At 37.9% G+C, this 27,854-nt stretch overlaps 2 protein-coding genes and 1 pseudogene across 3 annotated transcripts in view; 2 read left to right on the top strand and 1 right to left on the bottom strand.

The window, feature by feature from the left end:
- Positions 1–27,854, top strand: part of DLC1 (DLC1 Rho GTPase activating protein) — a 521,260-nt gene that overhangs the window by 12,105 nt on the left and 481,301 nt on the right. The gene's annotated exons all lie outside the window — the stretch shown is intronic.
- On the top strand, positions 7,980–8,672 carry LOC100421023 (nuclear transcription factor Y subunit gamma pseudogene; annotated as a pseudogene).
- On the bottom strand, positions 24,228–25,647 carry C8orf48 (chromosome 8 open reading frame 48). Its single transcript, NM_001007090.3, has one exon. It carries the CDS (start codon positions 25,522–25,524, stop codon positions 24,565–24,567), a length of 960 nt encoding a protein of 319 aa, NP_001007091.2. The 5' UTR covers positions 25,525–25,647; the 3' UTR covers positions 24,228–24,564.

Genomic DNA, 27,854 nt, shown 5'->3' with positions numbered 1-27,854 from the left:
GGTCAATGTTAGGTTTTGGATGGAAAAGAACACGTAAAGCAAAAAGTAAGTTAATAAGCTATATAGAACATTAAAAGATCCATATGTTTGCTACAAAAAATGGGAGAAATATAAAAATATAAATAAAACAAATAAAAGACAAATATAAAAATATAAACGAAACAAACAAAATACAAATTTAAATATAACACAGAGGGTATGTCACTGATGTATGGTAAGATCTTATAGTTCAATAAAAAATCCAATATCTCACTAGAAAATGTAAGGGAAGGAGGCAGAATACTTGAATCGAAAATTTCTAGAAGACATTCTAAAAGTTGATAAATATAAGACCTTTACCATTTGCCCAATAAAGCTGCTCTTCTTCTACTTGCTCAGGCCCCTTGCTCTCTTTAAATTCTAAACGCTGGACTGTCCTGGGGCCCTATGTTTGAACTCTTTCTCTATCCACAGGTTTTCCCTAGGACCTTACCCAGTTCCAAGCCTTTAATCATGTCAGTGAATCCATATCTGATTGCAACCTCCAAACTCCAGATACTTGTAACCAGGTGCTGATTTTAAAACTCCACAAGAATATCCAAGGTACACTGAACTCGACAAGGTCAAAAAAACCATAGGTTTCTCTCTCCATTCCCTACATCTAATCTTTGTTTAATTTCCTCCATCTCAGTGTATTTCAATACAATTTGTTCCAAGTTGTTGAAGTCAAAATCTATTTATCACTGTGGATCCACTTTCTCTCAAATTTCATATCTGACATATCCATGAATTCTGTCAGTTCTACCTCTAAAATATATCCCAAATATTTCCAATATTTCTAACTTTACTGTTACCAATAAGTCCAAGCCAACATCATTGTTTGCCTAGATTAAAGAAAAAAAAACACTCCTAATATTTATCCCCCTGTATTAGTCTGTTCTCATGCTGCTATGAAGAAATACCCAAGACTGGGTAATTTATGAAGAAAAGAGGTTTAATTGACTCACGGTTCTGCATGGCTAGGGAGGCCTCAGGAAACTTACAATCATGTTGGAAGGGGAAGCAAACATGTTCTTCTTCACAAGGTGGCAGGAGAGAGAAGGCGTGCCAGCAGGGGAAATGCCAGATGCTTGTAAAACCATCAGATCTCGTGATAACTCACTCACTATCACAAGAACATCTTGAGGGCAACTGCCCCCATGATTTAATTACCTCCCACTGCGTCCCTCCCATGATATGTGGGGATTATGGGATTACAATTCAAGATGAGGTTTGGGTGAGGACACAAAGCCAAACCATATCACCCTCCTTGCAATAAAAAATGAGTGTGATAATCATTTTTCAAAGTACTTAAGATTGTTTCCATTCTATTTTTAATATCTCCCTAAAATTTCTCATCACACTTTGAGGAAAAATTCACCTCCTCACGATGACTTAGAAACCCCACACTCTGTGACCTGTTTCTTTTTCTCTAATCTCATGTCATATAAATTTCCTTCATTCCTTATGTTCAATGTCAATTGAAAGTACCTCCATGTTATTGCTGCCTGGAAATTATAATGAAGAAAATATTGGCCAAATTTGTAAAAGCAAAAATATAAAATATTTTGATTTTGTCATTCCTTTTCTGAGAGTATCGCTTTTAGAAAAAGAAAGGTAAACATATTTGTATTTGTGCTTAAGTTGTAAATGAAGCATTTTTAATTACATTGATAGAAAACAAACTAAATATTCTATGAATTGCATGGAGTAAATAAATTATAGAACTTTTAAATAATGGCATAATTAGGCATGAAGCTATTTAAAATCACTGCTACAATGAAATAGAGAAAACAAATATAAACTGCAAATTTTTGGACAATGCAAATACAGAGCCCACTCTGATTATTTTATTACTAAAGAATATTTTGAAGCTCCCAGAGTATTTTGGAAGGCTAGAAAAGTAAAATTCTGGAGCTGAACAACAAAATCCATTGGCCAAGCATATTATGAGGGATTTTCTATAGAAAACACTGGTGTCTTCCTCTCAGCATCCAAGATGCTCAGAACTGGATATCCACCATTGAAGTGTCCAAAGAACCAGCTGTTTTCATGACTGTAATTATGAGAATATTGATTTCTGCATATATGACCACCTTCTCACACTGCTCACTTCTAAATACAATGTTCCTTCCAAAGTTTCCACTTGGTGAAACCTAGGTGATATATCTGTACAATAGCTGCAAAAAAAAACTGGGGATGTGGGTTTTATGGCTTCTACCTTAGAAAGGGAGGACTCATAATGTGGGAAATCACCAGAATGTTGGAAAGATATTCAAGGATGTTGAGAGGCCACAAATGAAAAAAGTCCTTAATACTGTAAATATAGGATTGGTGCCAATCCAAACATATATGGAAAAATATATGCATAGGAAAATAAACTTCAGGGGAAAATAAAACAAAATAAAAGCATGTGTTTGTATATATATATATATGCATGTTGAGTTTCTCCTAAACTTTAGTAAGTTTTCCATAACATTTTAAAATAATGCATGTTCGCTGTTGAAATTTTGAAAATAACAAAGACATACTAAGAAGAACAATAATACTATAATACACAGATAGCAGCTGTGAACATATTTGGTGCAGTTTCTTTGCCTTTTTTTTCCAAAACACTAGGTTTATACATATATTTTTAGAATTTAGATGAGTATGTATTTCTTTTTTCTTGATTATTAAAATATCTCCTTTCACCATTTATATTTTAAAATTCTTTAAATTAAAAAAATTTACACAATCTCTGTTGGAAAAAAGATAACTGTTCCCACTGGTGTATGAAAGCTTCCTAAATCTGTGAAAAAAAAAAAACAGAGCATTCTATATAGAACTGGGCAGAAAGGATGAACATAACAATTCACCAAATAAGAAATGTGTAAATAGCTAAGCAACATGAAAAAACATCCTCAAGGTCATTAAATAAGATAATTGCAAATTAAAGATGATTCTCTATGATGTCATAGTTGAATTTTCAGTGGATTCTGCGTTGCAAAATGAACTCAACACAAGCCAACTTTCCCCTGAATGTCACTTTCAGAGGGCTCATGTGATCTATCCACAAAGTGCCTATCTCAAAGCTGTCAGAAAGGTCTACTAGAATTTTCTCAGGAGAAATGGAGACTCATTGTGCCTTGCTGTTGTAACAGTGAATGTTCCTTTAGTTTTTGCAAACATTCTTAGAAAGACTTTATTTTGTTTTTTGTTTTTCTAATAGCATTTTCAACAATTATATAAAATACAAAGATCTCAGTTCTATTATAACATTAAAAAAGCATACATAAGCATCTCTGGGCTAAGAATGGTTAAGTTGTATAAACTGACGACAGCCTGTTGTTTGGACAGATGAAGGATAGCCTAATGAAGAATATGGATCGTGTGGTTAAAATACAAAGAAAAACTTGGCAAGAACTGGCTTTGGTATTTGACTTCTCACTGTGCACTAGCAACCCATAATTATTATCATATTCTGTTTTATGTTGAATGGATATGGTCCAGAACTGTGAAAAATATCTCTCTTATAGGAATGTGAGGGCAATCTGACTCCATCTGTCACCCATTTGACTGCCTTGGGGTAATGTAGCTTGTTAAACAGGTGACCTTCTCCCTCCTCACTTATCCCAAAACTATGAGCTTTGTTACAAAACAAAAGAACTCCCATAAACATAGAGCAGAAGAGTAGCCATGACCTCTCCCAGCCCCTATGCTTCTCCTAGTCTAATAAATATCACTTAACCATGCATCCCAAGCCTATATCTTTAGTCTTTGAGAAGACAGCTGCTGAGATAGTCAAGTAGCCATAATTTCTGAATTGTCTTATATTGAGCCAAAAGTTAGAGGTAAATTGTACCAAGATTTTTATTTGAACTTTCATTTAAGACTATTTTCTGTCACTTTTATGGAATATACTTTAATTTTATTGCTGTATTATCCAGTAAAATTGGGAGTTTTAAACATGCTGTACCCCCAGGCTATAATTCTTGCAGTGGAATTCATTTATATTCAGTGTTGGATGAGCATGGCAATGATAATATTCTGCTGCCTCCTAAGTTTTTATCGGGTCTCTGCTCTCTTTCTCTGGCTCTCAACTACTGTGGAATGAATATATTCACCTAAATGTCATACACCAAATTCAAAATAATGACTTCCTCCTCATTCTGACAAACCTCTCCCTTTCCTGGATTCTCTCTCTTCGGTAATCCACCCAGTAGGCTAATATAGGTATCATGCTTCCTACCATTTTCTCTCTTCTAATCAACTGGGCACCAGGGTTTGTCTATTTTTTTAACCCCATTCTTTTTCCATTGTTCATCTGTTTTCTCTGCCATTATGTAATTTCGGGCCTTCAAAAGTAATCAGTTGAGCTAGAACCATGAATCCTTGCAGACTGTGCTTCCATTTGGAAGAACTGGGATTGGAACTGAAGACTGTCTGACTTTTAAAACCTGGGCTCTTAACCTCTGGTGTAAGCTGAAGTAGGACCTATATAATAAAGGTCAATGACTTTGGAATTTGATCTATATACAATAGGAGTGATGTTATCCAAGAAGTTTTAAATGTTTAACATAATTTTCATATTGGATGTATTGCTGTAAAATCATACTGCCATGAGGGGAAGGGTGAGAAAGTTATAGTAATTGGGGCATGATATGATACAGGAGAAATTTAGAGAAAAGTGTGAATCTGAGAGTAGAGTACTGATAGAAACTTGAAAGATTGACTAGCACATTATTTTAGTTCTCTGATTGCTGTATTAAAATATCAACATATAATAAAAGACTTCATTTTTACTTCCCAGGTAAACAGAACTTATGGATTAAAGAGCCAACATTGCAGTTAACATCGCCTATATAAACATACATATATATATAGGCAATGTATATATATATATATATATATATGCAATGTATATATATATATATTTTCTCTCTCTCTGTGTGTGTGTGTGTGTGTGTGTGTATAGTCACATTTGTGCTGTTCAAAGCTTTATTTTTACATTTGGAAAACACACCAGTGGTTCAGATTCTATAAAGCTCTTCAAACAAAAAGAGAATCGTACATGTAATGCATGTCTCCTCTATATTTATCATTTGGTCCAACAGAGCTTTGTTTGGAAAGTGTCTGTGATATCCTAAAACAAAGTTCCAGATGGAGGAGGTGAAAATAGACATATGTTCCAGCTGTTTTTAATCTCTTTCTCTCTCTTTTTTTTTTCTTGGCTATGGTTACACTAAAAGCACACCCTTTAAAAGACAGAATAATCACTCTCTTCAAATGTGAGGGGTTCATCTAATGGCCACTCACAAAATTTTATCTATTCTAATAAAATGTGCATCTGTGCATGTACAGGCTTGTGGTGTATATGTGCCACCATCTGTGGATAGGCGCATGCATGAATGTGTGTGTGTGTGTGTGTGTGTGTGTGTAAACTATTTTCCCAAGTGGAGCTTGTTTTATAGGTGGAATCACTACCTACATATATTTCTAACTCTCTACTAGACATGTATTGCATAAAACCCTAAGTTTAAAAAGGTCCTCAATGTCCATGTATTATTATATTGAGGCACCTGATGCAGGTGGGTCTTACTTAGTTGTTGAAGGTTTCTGGTACCTTAGAATGATCAAAACTAGGTAAAGAGCATGTCCTTAGAGAATGCCACTATAACAAGTCTTGCTTGAATACTATCTATAGGCACTTCAAACTTCATATATCCTTGTGGTGATGGAACTGTTCTGTATTTTGACTGGATTGATGTCAACATTCTGGTTGTGATATTGTACTACATAGTTTTTAAAGACGTTGCCTTTCAAAAAACTAGAGAAGGGTACCGTTGGGTCTCTCTGTATTATTTCTTACATGTTTCATTTTACATGCAGGTGTGTGTGTGTGTGTGTGTGTGTGTGTGTGTGTGTGCATGTGCATCTGCATTATTCTCTAAATATTTAAAAAAGTCTAATTAAAAAAACTCAATTCATTCAGTTACTAACCTATCTACCAAAAGAAATTACTATGCTCTCCCCCATGAGAACACATTTCTTATATCTTTAACATCTGCTGATGACACCAGCATGTACATAATGAGAACGTATGAGCCATCTTTGACTCTTCCCTACTCCCCTCTACTGTTCAATCGGTCATCAAGTCTTACTGATTTACTTCCTGTTTCTAGAAATCATCTATCTCCTCTTCTTCTTTCCTACTACTGGTGGCCAAGTTTCAGAGCCTCATTCTCTCTGTCTTGGTTAATGAAACCATATCCAAATTGCCCTTCCTGCCTCAAGCCTTACCACCTTAAAACAGTCATCATAAATGCAGCTGCATATTAGAATCACTTGAGAAGCTTTTATACAACAATACTGCCAAGATCTCTATCCTAGGACAATTAGCAGAGAGAGCCCATGAGTAGGGCCTGGTCATCAGTATATTTTCAAACTTCCAAGATAATTATAATGTGCAGCCATGGTTGAGAATCATTCCCTTGAATGTCTATTTTCAGCTATAACTCTACAATGATTTCACTAAAAATGAAAGGCTAAGCATTATATTTCTCTGCTTTATCCTCCCTCTCTATTACAGTTTGAATTATATCCCTCCAAAATTAATACACTGAAAAAGTACTTCAGAATGTGACTGTATTTGGAGACAAGATGTTTACAATGGTAATCAAGTTCTTTAATACACCCAGTGTCCCTATGAAGAGGGAAAATTTGGATAGGGATATGAGCATGGGTAGAATAAAATATGAATGTGAAAGAAGAAATCAGGGTGATGTTCCTACAAGCCAAGGAACACCAAAAATTTTCAGCAAACCACCAGAAACTAGAAGAGAGGCATGGAACAGATTCTCCCTCACAGCCCTCACAAGGAACAAACCCTGGTGATACCTCAATTTCGGACTTCCAGCCTTCGGAACTCAGAGACAATACACGTATGTTGTTTTGACATCCAGTTGGTGGCACTTTGTTACAGCAGCCCTAGCAAACTAATGCACCTTTACAAATTACAAAGTACAACTTAAGCTTATAGGGCTGCTACCCTGTGGTTTGTTCTATAGCCATGTATCTGTTTTTAATTTCTTCATTCTTTTTTTTTAAATTTTTTATAGAGATGAGAGTCTTGCTATGTTTCCTAGTCTGGTCTTGATCTTCTAGCATCAAGCAATCCTTTGGCCTCAGCCTCTCAAAGTGCTGGGATTACAGGTGTAAGCCACCATGCTAGGCCTATTTCTTCATTCTTTATGTTCCAGAAACACATCCATGAAGACTTTGCTCAGGGGTCACCTTGTCTTGAATAAATTTTCCTATACCTGCCAAGATCTCTGATTATATGCACAATATTTTTGCTACTATATTGACCACATTGTATTACACATATTTGTTAAAAATTTTTTGTGATCTAAGAAAATGCTAAGTTCATTGAAGGCAGTGCCACATCTTAGTACTTAAATTCCTAGTATTTAGAGTTCCAGGAGTTCCTCAAGAATCTTTATTGAGTGAATAAATGAATTATTTTACAGAGTATACTGCACAGTTTGGGTACACCAAAATGCAGAAGCTAAAATGGGATTAGAGGTGTAAGAGATTTATTAAGAGGGGAGGAAAATAATAGACAGTGGGGAAAGGTTTCAGATTATAATGTGGTTTTGAGACCTATTGCGGGAGAAAGAAAAGGGAGGATTGGGTAGGAAGAGCCTGGGTGTGTGCACAGTTCCAAGAAAGTTTCTGTTGAACCAGCGAAAAGTTTTTGAGCGAAAGTTGCCCTTCGGAATATTCCCTCATCACATCTCAATGTGCCTACCTCTGCACTCCAGCTAAGCTATGGTATATATACCTGCAATCATTGTAGTTCTCTCATCAGGAATCTTGCACCCATAAAGCATGACTTCTACCAGCTTGAAGGGTAAATCTTTGTTCCATGCTGTTTTGCAATGTGTTTTTATTGTGCCCGGTACATATCCCAGAATGTCTCAGAGGAAAACAAGTGCCAAATTCTACAGTCAAATGATATCATCATGACAATTACAAAATGTGGTCAGTATAACTTTTTCATTGATACTCTCCAAGAAATGATCAACACTGCCATAGATGAGGAGCAGCTGCACCAATCTGGGCTTCCCACTGAGTCCATCCAGTACTATTTCACCCTGGTTCAGTAGCCCACCCCTGTCCAGGCCCACAGGCAGCAGCAAAACTAGCAGACCACCAGCTCCATGACCACCATCCGGCTCAGGCAGATCTTTACAGTGCAGCCTCAGAAGAGCCAAACAGGGAAGCTGCAGGTTGGGTAAGTTCAGCAGTTCGCACTGTCTAGATCCAGCCACAGGAGCAAATCCAGCAGACCCAGAATGGCCCAGGACAGAACATGCAGCTGATGCAATAGAACAGTACCAACAAAGCAAAGAACCTGCTGAAGCAAGACACCTGCTTATCCCTGCTGGTATCAGGCACTCAGACACTTTCTACCAGTGCTCAACAGAACATACAGACAGAAATCCAACCAGAACAGCAATCGTTCAGCCAGCTCCTAGATGAACGGCAGCTCTCTTGGACCCTGTGAGTGACCATGATAGCTGTCCAGGATGTCATCCAGTGCATGTTTATCCAATAAGCCAGCCAGTTTTGCCAGGACAAGCTCCTCGGGTGGGTGGTTACTGAGAGCCTGTACTGAAAAAGCCAAGGACACTCAAGACAATTTTCACCATGCAGCCTCAGGCATTGAGCACAGTCTCCATCTCCAAAGACATTGAACTCAGAGACACCGACTCTCTAACAGAAAGATGCAATAGTGTTGCTTCTTTTTTAATCGATATTTCGCTAAAGAATTAATAGGTTTGTCTTTGTTGTCAATCCTCTGACATGAAAATATTAAATAAAAGCATACCTTGTTTTATAGTGCTTCACTTTATTGTGCCTAACTTATATTGCATTTTTTTACCTATTGGAAAAAGTTGATTCCAACCCTCCTGGATTACTTTGAGGGGTTTAAGACTTCAGTACAGGAAGTTGTCGCAGATATGATAGAAATAGCAAGAGAACTAGAATTATAAGTGGAATCTGAGGATGTGATTGACTTGCTGCAATCTTGTGAGAAAACCTGAACCAACAGAGAGTTGCTTCTTATGGATGAGCAAAGAAAGCGGCTTCTTGAGATGAAATCTACTCCTGATGAAGATGCTGTGAAAATTGTTGTGATGACACCAATGGATTTGGAATATTCCATAAACTTAGTTGATAAACAGCTGCACAGTTTGAGAGAATTGACTCCAAGTTTGAAAACAGTTCCCCTTTGGGTAAAATGCTATCAAACAGCATCTCATGCTGCAGGGAAATCTTTCATAAAAGGAAGAATCAACTATTGATGCAGCAAATTTCATTATTGTCTTATTTTAAAAAACTGTCACAGACACCTCAACTTTCGGCCACCACCACCCTGATCAGTCAGCAGCCATCAACATCAAGGCAGGACCCTCCACCGGCAAAAAGATTACAACTCACTGAAGACTTAGATGACCATTAGCATTTTCAGCAATAAAGTATTTTTAATTAAGGTATGTACCGTTTTAGACATAATGCTATTACACCACATATATATATATATATATATATATATATATATATATATATAGACCACAGTATATTGTAAACATAACTTTTATATGCACTGGGAAGCAAAAAAAAATTGTATGACTCACTTTATTGAGATATTAGCATTACTGAAGTATTATAGAACCGAATCCACAAAATCTGTGAGTTCCTGTACTGTATTAGTCAGGGTTCTCTAGAGGGACAGAATGAATGGAAAAAATATATATATATATGGAAGTTTATTAAGTATTAACTCACACAATCACAAGATCCCGCAATAGGCCGTTTGCAGGCTAAAGAGCAAGGAGAAGCAGTTCGAGTTCTAAAATTGATGAACTTTGAGTCTGATGTTCAAGGGTAGGAAGCATCCGGCATGGGAGAAATATATAGGCTGGGAGCCCAGGCCAGTCTAACCTTTTCACATTTTTCTGCCTGCTTTATATTTGCTGGCAGCTGATTAAACGGTGCCCATTCAGATTAAGTTTGGGTCTGCCTTCCCCAGTCCACTGACTCAAATGTTAATCTCCTTTGGCAACACCCTCACAGACACACCCAGGATTAATACTTTGCATCCTTTGATCCAATCAAGTTGACATTTAGTATTAACCATCACATGTACCTATACCATATTAGTATACTGGTGTTTTCTTGAAGAGAGTGTATGCAAAATGTTTCATTTTGTTTTGTTTTTTCTCACTGCCAGTTCCTTAAAAGAGAAAATCTCTGCAGGGATGTGCATTACCATATCCCAACCGTTGGAAAAAGAGCTTAGAAGCGCTTTTTGATGACCTCCAGAGGCTATAGAAAAAAATGCATTTAAGAGATGAATTTATTATTCTCTAGGGAGAGTGGACTTTGTTTTTTCTCCAATCCCTTCTCTTGCAGAGACCCCATGGGACTAGAACTTTGCGTATCCATCCTACCCTCTTCACACACCCACACACACACTCACACACAGAGTTTTTCTAAAATTTTTTAAATGCATTAAATTTTTTTTCCTAGCTGCCTTTGATGCGTGGACTTCAGATTGCATGAACTACAGTAAGTCTTTTTTAGATAGGAAAACAAAACCGAAAACATGAAGAGAGTGAGGAGAAGCGAGGGAGAGAGAAGAAGGCAGAGGACAAATCACGGAGGACCTTGCATGGCCTGATAAAGAGGTTGGGTGTTATTCTATGGGAAGCGATAGAATAGATTCTGCCCAGTAATCTGATGCACATCTTTGAAAGATTACCCTACCTTCATTATGTAGACTGGATTACAGGGTGATGAACAGAAGCAGGAAAACCAGTTAGACATGTAATTCAATAGTTTAAGCCTGAAATAAGGTGGGTGACAGTGGATATAAAGACCTTTAAATGGATTGGATTAGATAAATCTTGGATGAAGAAAATACAGGGTTAGCTGTTGGATTGGACATAGTACATCAGAGAAAGAAAAGCAGTGAAATTTAGTACCAAGATTGTTGCCTTGACTAAATGAATGGATAGATATTAGTTCTATTTACTGAAATGGGGAAGGCTGGAACAGAGACAGGACTGGGGGAACAGCAAGAGTTTTGTTTGGGACAGACTAACTTTAAGGTACCTATTTAGAAGCAAATGGTTCCGTTTTTTCCTCTGAATGATGTCATTTGTATATGTATGTTTATTCAAAGTGCACTGATATTGAACAAATGGAAATTTAAATAGAAAATGTGTGGTTAGCTGAGAGCAATTATGAGCTAACACTGAAAGTGAGGCATAAAATTTGACCCTGACTGAATGAGATCTCCCAGGCATGCAGATGTCTTAATTCCTTGCAAAGAGTTGAGAGATTAGTAAATACTTTGTAATAGAGTCTGACTCCATTTTTGATGTTTGACTACTGACAACTTTAAGGTTTCACCGCTTTCTCTTCTCCTGCCCTACATGGGGGAAAGCTGATAAGAAAGCTGGGGTACCCCTTAGTTCAGTACTGGTGGGAAGCTCAAATCATGCAAGACTCAGTTCATGCTGGGGAGCCCTCACCCATCCTCACCCCCTCATCACAATAGAAAACAATCCATTCTCTTGCCATTTTTAGAGGCTGTCCCGCTTTTTCTCAGAAAGCCTGATTATGAGCATAGTAAACCTTTTCATACCCTCCTGGTGTGTGGGGGCTTTCACCTCTACTCTCCAGTTAAAATAGTTAATACTGCCTAATGTAAATTAAAATAGGATCTTAAAAGTTTGAAACCCATTATGCAAGACCTATTTAGAGAAGAGACATTTATCCTTTCTGGTCTTCCATATGCATCAATCGTCAGTTTTGTCATCTCAGCTATATTTTGCATGGGAGTCCATCTCACCTCTGCAAGATGACTTCAGGGATGGGCACAGTGAGCAGGAAGTCCAGGCAATGACCCCCACCACTGAGGGCTCTTGCTTTGCCTGCTAACTGTCTGTGCCCCCTTCTGGCAAGCTTGTGCTTTCAACCGTGCTGCTTTGTGTAAGCTTCGGTTAAAAATGTAACCAACCTGCCGGGCGCGGTGGCTCACGCCTGTAATCCCAGCACTTTGGGAGTCCGACGCGGGCAGATCACGAGGTCAGGCGATCGAGGCCATCCTGGCTAACACGGCGAAACCCTGTCTCTACTAAAAATACAAAAATTAGCCGCGCGTGGTGGCGGTCGCCTGTAGGCCCAGCTACTCGGGAGGCTGAGGCAGGAGAATGGCGTGAACCAGGGAGGCAGAGGCTGCAGTGAGCCGAGATTGCGCCACTGCACTCCAGCCTGGACAACAGAGCAAAACTCTGTCTCAAAAAAATAAAAAAATAAATGTAACCAACTTAAATTAGAAGCTGATAATTGGCATATGAGAATATGGGATTGGGGCCCTCCTTAAAGTGATCCTGGGTCATGTGTCTCAGCCTAGAGCATGTGTCTGAGATTAACTCATGTGCCTGGAGCCCAGCATAGTCCATGACTGATACTAGGCTAAGAGGAATAACTCCTATCCTGTCACCATTGTTGTTTGTCTCAACCAGGCACTGGCCACCATTCTAGAGAGTGCTTAGGAAATCACTGATACAACATGTAATATATGGGCACACTGGGTACTCACCTGGAGCACTCACAATGTGCTATGCAGAGGGCCACACTTCTAAAAGCAGTGGGCTCACTAGGACACTACAAAATGTTTTTGCTGCTGCTGCTACCTAAGCCGCTATTGCTCCAAAATAATCTCTAATATTGTGATATAATAAGATATATAAATATACATACATACATATGTATGTGTATATATTTTTTATAATATATTAAATATATTATAAATATATAATATAAAATATAATATATTAAATATATAATATAAAATATAATATATTAAATATATAATATAAAATATAATATATTAAATATATAATATAAAATATAATATATTAAATATATAATATAAAATATAATATATTAAATATATAATATAAAATATAATGTATTAAATATATAATATAAAATATAATGTATTAAATATATAATATAAAATATAATATATTAAATATATAATATATAATATATAAATATGTATTATATAAAAATATATATATATATATATATATATATATATATATATATATATATATAAAGTCAGACCTGTGGTATCTGACTTTAAGTCCAGGTAGATATGTGCATATATATATATATATATATATATGCTCCCTGTTCCTCAATTAGAGCTCCTTACACCTTTTATGCGGCGGTGCTAGGAGACTCTTTTGTTCTAATATTTGTTCTTTGACCCCTGGTTTCTGGCACAAAGCTCCTAACACCGTTGTCATTTAATGAGTGATAGGAGAGTCTGGCACAGAGCTCCTAAATCCCTTAAAATGTCCTAGGCAATAGGAGTCTCTTTTGTTCTAGTGCAGTGATTGCTTGTGGGCTTCTGGATAGCCTCGGAATGGGAGCCGGTTGCCAGAGGAACCAACCTGTAATAAAACGTTGGAACTTTCAGCCCCACCCCCTCAACCTCTGGGGAGGGGAGTAGGGCGGAAGGTTGAGTCAGTCAGCAATGGCCATAGATTTACTTAATCATGCCTACGTGATGAAGTCTCCACAGAAAACCTAAAGGACAGGGTTTGGAGGGCTTCTGGGTTGTTGAACACATGGGGGTACCTGGAGGGTGGGACACCTGGAGAGGGCATGGAAGCTCCACACTCCTTCCCCCACACCTTGCCCTGTGCATCTCTTCATCTGTTTCTTTTGTAATATCCTTTATAATAAACCAGCAAATGTGTTTCTCTAAGCTCTGTGAGCTGCTCTAACAAATTAATTGAACCTGAGGAGAGGGTCCTGGGAACCCTGGATTTATAGCAGGTCAGTCAGAAGTGTAGATGACAACCTGTTAATATTACCTGCTATAGGAATCTGCAGTGGGGGCAGCCTTGTAGGACTGAGCTCTTAACCTGTGGGATCTGACTTAAACTCCAGGTAGATATGTCAGAACTGAATGAATTCTAGGACACCCAGTTTGTATCCACTGCAGAATTGCTTGGTGTAGCAGGGAAAACCCCACACATATGGTGTCATAAATGTTGAGTGACTGTGTAAGAGAGTACGAAAACACAGTTTGTTTTTTCCTTCAGAATTGGTGTCAGTGAAGTGAGATTTGCTGGAATGGCTGTGACTCACTGAAACATGTGGCTGGGGATGAAAAAGGATAGCCTTTGATTAGAGAAAGGAGAAGTCATTGATTCCTGGGTGGCCATGTGGTCATCCTTGGTACGGAGCAGCAGCTGTGCTGAGTTACTGAAGGTCAAAGTGACCAGTGAATTTGAGGAAAGGAGCCAACTCCCAGGGAGTTGGTTCACTGGACGCACAGAGAAATGCAACCTAATTTTTAAAAAACAAATTGTTGAGTGTGTGAGAGTAGGAATTACACTTTTTTTTTTTTATTTCTATAGAACCTGATCCTCAGTGTTACAGGAATAAACATTCATGCTTCCACCCTTATGTCCCCACCTCCTGTGGCACATCCAAGGACTTAATTTTAATCAACTGGCTTCCTTAAATCCAATAAAGCAACAATTGTCATGGGTGAAGCCCCTAACCTTAAAGATAATAATTTGATACTCTCCAACAGGAAGAAGCTTAAAAATATGAGCAGGGAAAACATAACTCTCTCCCAACAAATTATATCCTATAACCAAATACACACATATATAAATCCTAGATACCAAGGAGGAAACAAAAGCCCAAAACAGTGGGCATAATTTGACTCAATCAGGAATGAAAAATTTATTCGTATAATTTATATAACAAAAACATAAAAGTATTTGTTTTCCCCTATACAATGTAGGTTCTAAATTAATTTAGCATGTACTGAGATGGAACAATTGGCAAAATTTTATGACACTAATTAATACCGAATTCAAATTACAGTTATACTCAAGAATCCCATTAAATTTAACCAAGATATACGTAAAATCTGAAGAGAATTATTGAACATAAAAGAGAACTGCCTCACCATAACCACTGCAAAAAATACATTACCTAAATTCTTCATAATCATATAACCCATTACTCTAAAACATGTTCTGTGGACACGGACACTGACCCATCGCATAATAAGCTGTAATTAGATGGAGTCCTTGTCATGTAAAATAGGCTTGGTAAGTTGCAGCTCTATAGACCTCCCTCCCTACTGTCCAGCTAAAATACTTAATACAAATTGATATAAATTAAAGCACAGTCTTTGAGGAGTGAAACCTATTATAAAGTCCAATGTCGGAAGATGTTTATCCCCACTGTTTCTCCAGTAACAGCCCAGTTTGGACTGTTCTTAAATGTAGAAAGAATTAATGGTGCCCCATGGTGGATTACCACAACCTTAACGCCATCGTCCCACCTGTGAAGGCCCCTAAGCCCAACACAGAGTCAGTAGATTATGTCCAATCAGCAAGCAGTAAGCACTTCACAGTCAGAGATATTACTAATATGTTCCTCGGTAAGCACTTTGCAGTCAGAGATATTACTAATATGTTCCTCTGTTCAGTGCCATTTTCAACAGCCACGCTTGGCCTTAACCTTCAAAGGGACACAATATGTCTTTACCAAGCTACTCGTAGGGCACTTGCACAACTCTATCCTTGCACACAGTCCTTGCAGCCTAGGCTTTAACCACGTCCAACTTTCTCCAGCAGCACAGACACAGCATTGTACTGATCATACCCTACTCTGGGGAGATTCATTTGACACACTCACTGAGGACACGCAAATGCTCCCAAAAAGAAGATAGGCATTTCTCTGCACATAGGACAAGGCCCTGCACACCAGTTAAATTTGTGAAAATTATTGGGTAAGCTGAAGACTTCTCTATCTGTAAGAAATAGCAATCGACTCTCTCAGAACCCACAATGTTAAAAGAAGCTCAACTTTTACAACTTTTCAGGATCTGGAGGCAACATATTTCTATGTTTACATTTTTTATATATTTCGATGTTTACATTCTCATTATAAATTTTACTGATGCCTATTTATGCTGTTGCAAATTGTTCCTTCTGGAATTGTGTCCTCTCAACCAAAGAACTCTAGAATCTGGTCAAATTGCAATACAATAGGCACTCCCATTGGTGATCCTTCTCCGCGCCCCAGAAAAATCCTTCACTGTAGAGGCTTTAGCAATCTCTTCTCAAACCTTCAAACCCCTTAACTACCTGGGAATCCCTTGGGATTTAATGAATGAACAGCAATGCGGGTTATTACACTTTATGTAGAGTATTAAAACTATACATGATGTGTCTTACTGAGGAGGTGCTGCTTTTCATCCCTTAATCCAGACATTCTGATAAAGAGTGTGATCTAAGGGCCAGTATATTTAGCTGAACTTTAGGCACTCAATTTGGGCAACAATTGGCTCCATCTATGCACTTTTACAGGCCATTGCCAGTGGTCTAGCCCTCTAGTTCTGCCAATGGTAGCAACAACTAGTTATCCAAGATTTGCTCCTTTGAGGAAAATAACTGTGGGACTCTCTTGCCACACAGATACTCAAAATATGTTAAGGTTACACATGTCTCAGTGCATACTAAAGCCACAATACAAAGCCTTCCTTTATACCCTTCAGAATTCCAGATATTGTTCATAATGACCAAGGCACTCATTTTACTTCTCAAAATACACAATGCTGGGCTCTCAAACAAGGTGTTCAGTGAACTTTCACTGCCCTTACCAGTTTCAGGTGACAGGCCTGAGAGAGCACTATTATGGTACACTGAAGCTAAAATTTAATTAAATGAAACATGATGTATTTCAGTCGTCAGTCAAGCAACAGGGATAAATTGTAATAAAAATTAGGACTGCATTTTTTTTTTATGTTTAACAGCTGAAGGCTTTCAAGCCCCACTCTTCTGCCCCATATCTGTGCTAGCTGATAAGAAAGCCCATATGCTCCCTTATTTGGTGTGGCAGGACATTCAAAATATCCAAGCCCCAGCCCAGATGTGGGAATCCTCCCCTCGGCCCCACCCCCTAATTATAATAAAAGCCATGCTAGTCTCTTTCCTCACCTTCAAGCCATTTTCAGATCTGCTTGAAAGACTGCCTCTCGTACCCCCCTCCTAACCCTCATTACGTAAGTAAATAAACCTTCATACTCTCTCAGTGCATATGTGGCACCATTAGTCCTGACATCCAGAGCAAATTTTGAGTGGGATGACTACAACAAATTTTCTCCTAAATGTTTAATACCTCGACAAACAGTGGGCTCATCAAAATCAGGGCTTATGATTGCATAAGACACTTTGATGTAAGTTTGCAATTTTCGCTGTAATTTGAGTTGACTGCCAGTTGGAAAATTTCTGAATTCTCTATTCCAAAGGGTAATTATCAACTAAGAACAGAAATTCAACTATGTTTTCATTTTGTGTTTCTCAAATTGACTATTTGTGTATTTATTTCTCATCTGTCACTTTTAGGCAAAATTGAGGGAGAGCTCACACCTACTCCCAATCCCTACTTCTTTTCAACCTGTTTACTATGCTGCTGCAGAATGAGCTAAGTTATTATACTAGGCTTCATCATGAAATAAACTAACATGTTTAAAATTGGAGGTATTCTAAGCTGGGTCCCAGACATTCCTAAACAGTTCTGAGGCTGGAATTTGAATGACTCAGATGTTCAGGATTGAGCTGACTTTTCTCTCAGTCTGGCATCACCACTTCTATCTCAAGAGTTTCATTACTATAATGCTGTTCAATAAACAGATTTGTTTTTAGGCACAGAATTTTAGTCTATTTGATGATAAACCTAGAGTACAAAACATGAAATAAATATTTCTATTATGTATATATTATAATCATATAAATTATACATTTGTATAATTATGTACTAAGTGGCTAGACACATTTTTAGTGTTGTGGCAACAATTAGGAAAATATGTGGCTTCTTAGCACCTCATCTGATGAGCTTTCTATTTCACCTGTATTAGAATCTCATGGGTGTAACTATAGAGTATTTGGAGAAAAGATATCCAACCCCCTTTGAATATATTCAAGGGCAAAAAACATATATTAAGTTTGAGCGTTAAGAATTTTTATCCCATTTCAAAATTTCAGATAGTCATCAAATATGTCTAAAATTAATAATAGATAACTTTCTACTTGAAACTGTGTATTGCCTAGAAATATATTTTTATGTTAATTGTTTAAAGTGAAAAATGCATACTTCCTGGAAGGATCTCTTATTAAAAAGCTTTACGCTAATTTGCCACTGAGGAAAAGAATGTGTATATATACATGCTGAAAGGAAATGCAACCCCTGGAGAGGTAAGAGTAAAATTACAGAAAACAGCTACTCAGAACACTGACAGATTACAGAATTCTAGAAGATTATTTTCTTCTTTTGGTGGAGAAGATACATTCAGTTTCATTGTTTGGAAGCCCTTCTTTGTTATCCATGAAAGTTTCATTGAGCACCATCACGTGTAAGGCACTGTGCTAAACACCAAGGATATGATGAATGATGGAGGGAGTCTCTACACTTGCGTTGCTCACAAGTAAGAGAGAAAAGCATATTAATTAAGCCACAAGTGTCATAAAATGAACTTTTATATTAACGTCATATGTAAATTTTATATTAATGTCATAGAGCATACAGACTACTGACTTTAATTCTGAATAGTAAGTGCTTAAAGATCATGAGTGCAAAGGTGAGGTTATGAGCACAAATGTTGGATTTAAGCATATGCCAAACTACAAGATTATTTCAATGGATGCAGGAAAAAACTGACAAAATACGAAACACTTTTATGATACAAACATTCAATAAACTAAGAATTACAGAGAACTTTCCCAACATGAAAATGCCATATATGAAAACCCATAAGTAAAATCATTCCCAGTGGTCAAAGACTGCAAGTTCTTCCCTAAGATCAGGAACAAAACAAAGATTCCACTTTCACACCTTCTATTCAATATAGCTCTGGAAGTGATAGCCATAGCAATTATGCAAAGATAGAAAGGCATTCAAATTGGAAAGGAACACATAAAATTATCTCTGTTGTAGATACACTCTTATACCTAGAAAACCCTAAAGAATCTGTCTCTTTTCATCGTTAGAGCTAATAAATGAGTTCAGCAAAGTTGCAGTATACAAAACCAGCATGCAAAAATCAACTGTATGTTTATACAATAGAAATGAACAATCCAAAAAGAATTTTTTAAAAAAATTTAATTTACAATGGCAACCAAAAGAATAAAACACTTACGAATACATTGAACAAAGGAGGCACAAAACTTACATGGTAAAGATCACAAAACACTGACAAAATAAATTTTTAAAAGACGTAAAGACATCAATGTGCGTGAATTGGAATGCTCAATATTGTTGTGATGACAATATTACCCAAAGATATATACAGATTAAATGCAATCCCTATCAAAAGTCCAATGGCATTTTTTACAGAAATAGAAAAACCTATCCTAAAATTCATATGGAATCCCAAGGAACCATGAATAGCCAAAACAATCTTGAACAAAAAGGATAGAGATTCCATGTTTCATGATTTCAAAACTTACTCAAAGCACAGTAATAAAAATATTATGGTACTGGAGTAAGGACAGACACAGAGACCAATGGAACAGAATTTAGAGTTCAGAAATAAACTCTTATTTCTATGACCAACTGATTTTTCACAAGGGTGCTAAGACCATTCAATGGGGGAAAGAACAGAATCTTCAACAATCATATGGGAAAGACTGTATCACCACATACAAAAGAATGAAATTAGACCCTTACACCATAAACAAAAGACTAACTCAAAATGGATTAAATACATAACTATAAGATGTGTGACTATAAAACTCTTAGAAGAAAATATATGGGCAAACTTGCATGATCTTAGATTTGGTGATGATTTCTTACATATGACACCAAAAGCATAGGCAATAAAAGAAGAAATAGAAAAACTGAACTTTATGAAAATTAAAAACTTGTGTGTATAAAAAGACACTATCAAGAGACTGAAAAACCCACAGAACAAGAGAAAATACTTGCAAATCATATATCTGATAAGAATTTACTATCCAAAATATAAAAATAATTCCTCCAGCACTTTGGGACACCAAGGCAGGTGGATCACAAGGTCAGGAGATCGAGACCATCCTGGCTAACACGGTGAAACCCCGTCTCTACTAAAAATACAAAAAATTAGCTGGGCGTGGTGGCAGGCACCTGTAGTCCCAGCTGCTTGGGAGGCTGAGGCAGGAGAATGGTGTGAACCCGGGAGGTGGAGCTTGCAGTGAGGCGAGATCGTGCCACTGCATTCCAGCCTGGGTGACAGAGTGAGACTCCATCTCAAAAAAAAAAAATAAATAATAATAATAATAATCCTGAAACTCAATAAAATAGACAACTCAATTTGAAAATGGGCAGAGGATTTGAATAGACATTTTGCTAAATGAGATACACAAATGAACATTAATCACATGAAAAACTGTTTAGCATCATTAGGGATTTGGAAATTATAAGTCAAAGTACAATGAGATGCCACTCCACAACTACCAAAATGGCTATAACTTTTGAAGGGGAAAATAAAAAGTGTTGGCAAGGACGTGAAAAAATCCGAATCCTTGTAGCTTGCTGGTGGAAATGTAAAACGTTGCAACTGCTGTAGAAATAATGTGTCACTTCCTCAAAAAGCTAAACATAGAATTACCACGTGATCCAGCAATTCTACTTCTAAGTATGGACCCAAAAGAATCGAAAGCAGGTGCACAAACAGATACTTGTATGCCAGTGTTCATAGCAGCATTACGCACAATAGCCAAAAAGTGGGAGCAATGCAAGTGTCCCTCAGCAGATGAATGAATACACATACACGTTACACGTACATGTTACATATACCTACAATGGAATATTACTCAGCTATAAAAATGAGGTTCTGATACATGCTACAACTTGGATGAACCTCGACACTAAGCCAGACACAAAATGACAAAGACTGCATGATTGCACTGATATGAAGTATCTCAAATAAGCAAATTTATAGCAATAGAAAGTACATTCGAGGTGACCAGGTACCAGGGGGAGAGGAGAATGGGGAGTTATTGCTGAACGGGTTGAGTTTCTGTTTGAGGTGATAAAAAATTCTGAAAACAGTGGTGATGGTTGCACAACATTATGGATGTCATGCTACTGAATGGTACTATTAATAACAGTTCAAGTGGCAAATTTCTGTTATGTAGATTTTACCCCAAGAAAAACAAAAGGAAAAAAAAGCAAGGTGCTGAAGAGAGCACATAATAAACTATCTTTGGTGTTCGTATTTGCATAAAACAGCACTGGAATAATACATAAGAAATTAAAGTAAGTGGTTATTTATAGGTAACATCAATATTCAGCCCCTACCCAATAATAAAGTTGTATTGGTTAAAGTACAGAAATACTTCTGGTGGGTAAATGTCCACTCCCTGATTCCGTGAGTTCTCTCCTCCTGTGCTCTCATCCCAAGATACCTGTCTGCACCATGGCCCAGCAAGTAAAGAGTTAACCCTGGCAGGACAGGGGTCTGGTAGGTTAGTCTAGAATGAGGTTGAATAGTTACAGGGTAGAGGGGAGACTCTACAAACTAAACTTTCTAATATTCTTTCAACTTTTGAGTCATAAAGACAGGACAATAAAATTTGAGAGCTGAATGAAGACGACGAAGAAGCGGGAGAGTATGCCAGGTGAAAAGGGAAGTTAAGAGAACCAACGCAAATGTCCAACAATCATAGACTGGATTAAGAAAATCTGGCACATATACACCATGGAATACTATGCAGCCATAAAAAATGATGAGTTCATGTCCTTTGTAGGGACATGGGTGAAATTGGAAACCATCATTCTCAGTAAACTATCGCAAGAACAAAAAACCAAACACCGCATATTCTCACTCATAGGTGGGAATTGAACAATGAGATCACACGGACACAGGAAGGGGAATATCACACTCTGGGGACTGTGGTGGGGTGGGGGGAGGGGGGAGGGATAGCATTGGGAGATATACCTAATGCTAGATGACGAGTTAGTGGGTGCAGCGCACCAGCATGGCACATGTATACATATGTAACTAACCTGCACAATGTGCACAGGTACCCTAAAACTTAAAGTATAATAAAAAAAAAAAAAGAGAGAATTTAGGGGAAACAAATGTGCACATAGAAACCATAGTGACACAAAAGAGCTCAGGGAAGTAATGTAGAGACGCTTGAATATAGTGGGGAGGGATTACATGAGAATAGAAAGGTAAAGTTGGGCCAGATGTTAAAGAACCACTATGTGACCTTAATTAGTTTGAAATATTTCCATATCAGAGATAAACAACTTAGAGTTTTGTTTTGTTTTAAATCAACAGAATTACTTGAACAGATTTGTGTGTTAGAAAAATAATTCTGGGCTCCTGGGCACAGTGGCTCGTGCCTGCAATCCCAGCACTTGGGAAGGCTGAGACAGGAGGATTGCTTGAGCTCAGGAATTCCAGACCAGTCTGGGCAACATAGCAAAATTTCTCTACTGAAAATACAAATAAAGAAATTTAGCCAGGCGTGGCGGCACGCACCTGTAGTCCCAGCTGCTGGGGAGGCTGAGGTGAGAGGATCACCTGAATCCTAGAGGTTGAGGCTGCAGTAAGCAGTAATTGCACCACTGCATTCCAGCCTGGGTGATAGAGCCAGACCCTGTCTCAATAATAAATAAGTAACAAATTTAAAAAATAGTAATTCTGAGAACTGTATGCTGACATTTGGGAACTGTATGCTGAAAGTCTTGCTGAAAAATAGCTTGGGGTTGAGTTGAAAAATAAAAAGGAAGAACAAAAGATGACTCAGATTTCTAGCTTGGTTGACTAAAAGGGTGGAGCATGCCCTTTAATGGGGGAATTCTAAAGGGAAAATTATTCAGAATTTTGATTATGTAAAACATGAATATATTGAGATGTCAAAGATAAAGCATGACATAATATGGATTTCAAATAAAAGGTTATTATGAAAATGGTAATGGTTATTTTCCATTTAGAATGACTTACTAAGGGGAAATATGCTAAATTTTATGGGGGAAAAAAATAGTATCTTTATACATAAATGAAGGTCTTAACGCAAAGAGTAATACTGAAGTACAATACTAAAACTCTTCTGTGCTGATTTTTGCAAACAAATTTCTTTTTCACTGAGATAATTCAGGTGTTGGACATGTAGAAAAGTGATCTCCAGGTAATGCCACTAATTCCATGGTTTTATATTTTTATAGAGGAAATAGATAATAAATGGCTTCTCAGAATGCCATCTAACATTTTTCTCCATAAATGTGTTTTCAAAATGCCATGGTATTCCTTGTGGAATAATACTGTTTCCTCATTACATAAATTTGGATGAACAACAGAAGGTTCATAAAATCTTCACGACCAAAATGGCTATCTAGATAATTTGTTTAAGCGTTCTTCTCTCAAAACTCAACACCTAACCCCAGCTTTACTTCTTCTTCCCCTTACAGCTAAATATTTCAAGGAGTACCCTATATCCATTCATTATTTACTTACATTTTTCCTCAATCTATTTTGTCTGCCCCATTTGTATAAGTGAAATGGCTTTTGCTAAGGTCAGCAGTGCCCAATACATGACTAAATCATCTTTACATGGCTTCTCTGTTGATTGATGTGGTTAGACAACTATCCTTCTTTAAATATTCATTCCTTAGCATCTATGACACTATACATTCCTGATTTCCTTGATCCACTTGATAACTTTTTTCACAATCTTTTCTGCAGGTTTATTTTTCTCTACTTAGCCATTAATTGGCATTTCTCAAGAGTTTGTATCAACCCTGCTTCTCTTCTTATTCATTTCCAAAAACGCTTGACAATCTACGGCTTCAACTTCCAGCTATATGCCATTGATCCCCACCCTTCCCCCAGTCCTACCCCAATTTATTTTGCACCTCTAGGCTATACCTTTCCTCTGAAGCGCAAAAACAAATAATCAAATGTTTCTTCAAACTGTCAATGTGTATGTCCCAAATGCACCTTATATGTCCAAATAATCATACTCTTCAACAGTTCCATCAAACATAGTCCTCTTCTGGTGTTCCTGTCTTAATGAAATTAATGATCATTCATCCGGGCGCACAAGTCAGAGCCTTAATAACATTTCAAACATCTACTATTTATTAATTCCCCATAGCCATTTGATCGCCAAAGACAGTTATTACTTTTTAAGTTTCTCTTACATCCCCATACTACTTTGCTTCTGTACCATCAACATCCTGGCCCAAACTACCAACATAGTTCTCTTGGAATTTTGTAAAAGTTTTTATAACTATTCCAACTACAACAGTGCCTTCTATAATAGGAAAAAAAAAGTGAAAGTTCTTAGTCCTCAAATCTGTGAAGGAAGCATAGTAAAGTCTTAAGTTAGTTTCCCAAGTGCCTGTAGAAATTATGGTAATTACTCAAATACACAACAAAGACATCTATCCACATTACACATTATCATTAACAATCACCAGCTCTGGTTTGATTAGAGTAAGTCGCTTGAGAAATGGCAGAGAAAATGGTAAATGACAAGCACTATTTCCATCTCGCTGCAACTTCTGCTCTGTCTCTGATCTTTCAAAACCAGAGTATCTGATATGACTTTTCTCAGTCAGTCTTTTCCAGATTATTCTGGGGTCATCTGAAAGCCTGGGAAAGTCTTGATGTGCTTCTCCAATACGGGTGAGAAAGTCTTTGGTATGAAGATGTTCATCTATTCTCTCTTGGAGTAGAAATGACTCCAGTAAAGTCTTCTTTTGTTTCAGAAAGGCAGACAGGGCCAGCTCCGCTCTTTTCCTGTTACAATAGGGACACTGATAAGATATGTGTTGCTTAGCTGCTGCCTCCTGTTTTGGCGTTGTCCTCATGTTTTTAAAGTAGATTCTGTTCAAAAGTTCATCGGGTACAGTACAACTAAAGGCATCTCTCTCTGAAGCCTCTACATCCAATCCAAGATGCAGCTTTTTATGTCTGCTGCTCGTCTTCTTCTTAGAATCCCCTCTACGATGAATCAAATTTATCTTCATGGTGCAATAAGACTGCAGGGCATTCAATTCTTCATCTGATACCCGAGTGATTTCTGTTGGAAGTTTGGTGTCTGGTTGGTGCCGTTCAAAGTTAGAGTCTTTGAGCTTGAGGTAGTTGATCCATTTTTTACTCAACTTCTTTTCATAATTTTTATAGTCCAAAAGCTCAGATTGTGTGTCTCCTTGTTCCAAGCTTGGAGTCTGCTTTTCCCTCTCCAGTTTGCTCCCAGAGGTCAGGGGCGAGGACTGCCGTCCTCCAGAGGAGCTGAATGAGCTGGAAGTCTGTACCTCATCAGTAGAGTTCTTCAAAGTCTCAGTCTCATCAGAAAGGTTTGCAAGAGCACTTTTGTCCGTTTGGGCCAATTCTGGGCAGATGGCCATCACAATGCATCAGGCTCGGCTCCTCATCTCCTTTGCCCAGGTTAAGACTGGCTCAGGAACCCGTCAGGAGCTGACCCCTCCGGGAATGGATCTCAATGCCATCAGCTCTGCGGAGGTCGTCTTCCGGGAGACGCCTTCCCAGCTGTCTTGGCAACGCGGGCCGCTCATGCGCAGTGACTGGCCACCATGCGGCGTCCCGCCTTTTCCTCCGCGCTCCCCAGCGCCCACTGCGCTTGCGCTGCTTGCGCCGGGTTGGCGATTTTGCCCTGTCTTCTGCACTCCTGCTTCTCTTTGGTGCTAAAGTCGAGTAGTCAACGGGAAAACCTTGCAAACTCTGTTTCCCAGGGGTCAGACAGGTGGCACACGTGTGTGAGACCAATAGAGTTAGGTGGCCTGTGACAAATCCGAACGTGTACGCCCGCCTAAATGCATCTAGATTTAAAAATCAAGCAAAACGCGCTGGACAAGATGCACAAGCAAAAACTTGTCTGCAGTGTTTATAGCCAAGAGACACCTCCTTGTAGAGCATGTCTTTGGGGAAAAGTCAAAATACAGAAACCATTCTGTAAGAAGTAGTGTTCTGTGCTCCAGCATTCTGAGGACCTCGAAGTTTGGGCGGGGTCGGGGGTGGGGAGCAGGGGCGGGGGAGGACCTTAATTTTCCAAATCAGTTTCTCTGGCCTTTTGTCCATACAGGTCCCCTCTGGCTAGCATATCCACGCCCGTCCTCACTCTTAATATCGTTAATTTATCCTCCTCCTCCGAGTCCCATTTCCTCAGGAAGGGCTTAATACCCACCCCTGCCTTAAACTCTTTCCAGCATTTTTTTTTAAATAGTGTCCAACTATGTGATTGTATGAGTATCTGATTATGAAGGCTGAAGGCAGAAATCATGTCGGTGTTGCCGACTAGTATGAGCCCAGCAATCAGCAGACACATAGCAGGTGTTCAAGAAATCTCTGTTGAGTGAATGGCTATGGAACAAATAAATCTTACCTTACACACGTCCAGAGGATTTGGAGAAATAAGTACTATAAGTTCAGGGAACTCTAACCTTTTTTCTAACTGAATCCCCAAACTTAGGCTATTACACAGGATATATTTTTTATTAATGGATTCATTTAAAAAACACAGTAGAGTTTTATTAATTATCGTGAGAAATTATAAAATGTTAACTCTAGAGATGGACTTTTCCTAGGTTATAATAGTTCTTGAGTCTAGGACTTAGTCAATGTCTAGGATAATTTTAAGAGCCTAGACACCCTTCTTTCTCAGTTTTGTCTCTCTCTCTCTTTCTTCCTGTGTTTCTTGGGGATTGGGGGGTATTATTCAGGTCTAGCCAGATATATTCCCCAAATGTTCATTCTGGCAAAAAGTGAAAGTCAAATATTCAAAAAGCATCTCTCAAGTATATGAGCCAGCTTCCTGTTGAAGATAAGGAGACTCCAACTTCATTTATTCAACCCAAATTTTATTTTATCATATAATGGTAGTCTTTAAAAAAGAGGTGGCATGTAATTTGTGAGTAACTCCAAGTAATTTCCAATAGGGCTCAATATTTTCCTTATTTATTATTTCAAATCTCTGCCTCATTCTCTGAATATTTACACATTCATATTTACACACTATTCATGTTTTAGCTATATCTTATCCATAACATTGAACAAGGGAGCTATACTTAAAATAAAATCTATCTGTGTCTTCTAACATGCCAAATGTCTGGGGTAATCTGTCTTTTTTATAATCGTGTCTTAAATTTCTCTTGATTTTTAAAAATAACTTTATCCTAGAAGGAGATATATGTGGGTGGGAAATTCTATAATTAATTTCCTTGTAATATTCAGCGTGACCCAGTGGACAGTTTTACATTCTAGTAAGTGTGTTATCTAAGGAAGAAAATTTCTCAACAGTACTATATTTATCAAATAAGATTCATGAAAACACAGGTCAAAGTTTGATTTTAAACAAATATGAAGAGTAATAGTTTTCCTTTGGAAATCTCAATCTTCTTGCCATCTCTCAGGGGCTGTTGGGAATGTCAAAATGCTTTGTGGACCAAGCTGTGGCTGAAGGCTGCTTGTGGTGGGGATTGGGAGATATGAAGAATAGAAAAGAGAGTCCAGTCAGGCTCTCTTGGCCTAACCTTGCTATGCCCCTCCTGTTACTGTTCTGCAGCTACTTTCTCTTCTTCCTAGTTCCTATCAGAGAGCAGGGCCAAGGGTCTTCTCCCAGCTTTTTCCTTAATGATCAAGAATGCTTTGCAGCTATAAGGCCAACCCCAGAAAGAGGAAGTCAAAACAAATTCATGATTCCCCTTCTCTCTTGCTTTCC

The sequence above is a fragment of the Homo sapiens genome, chromosome 8 (assembly GCF_000001405.40).
Source record: "Homo sapiens chromosome 8, GRCh38.p14 Primary Assembly".
Classification (NCBI taxonomy): domain Eukaryota; kingdom Metazoa; phylum Chordata; class Mammalia; order Primates; family Hominidae; genus Homo; species Homo sapiens.
This window is presented reverse-complemented; position numbering and strand designations above follow the sequence as displayed.

Coding starts and splice junctions, on each gene's coding strand:
- C8orf48 (NM_001007090.3), bottom strand. CDS start 25,524: ATGGCCATCTGCCCAGAATTGGCCCAAACGGACAAAAGTGCTCTTGCA.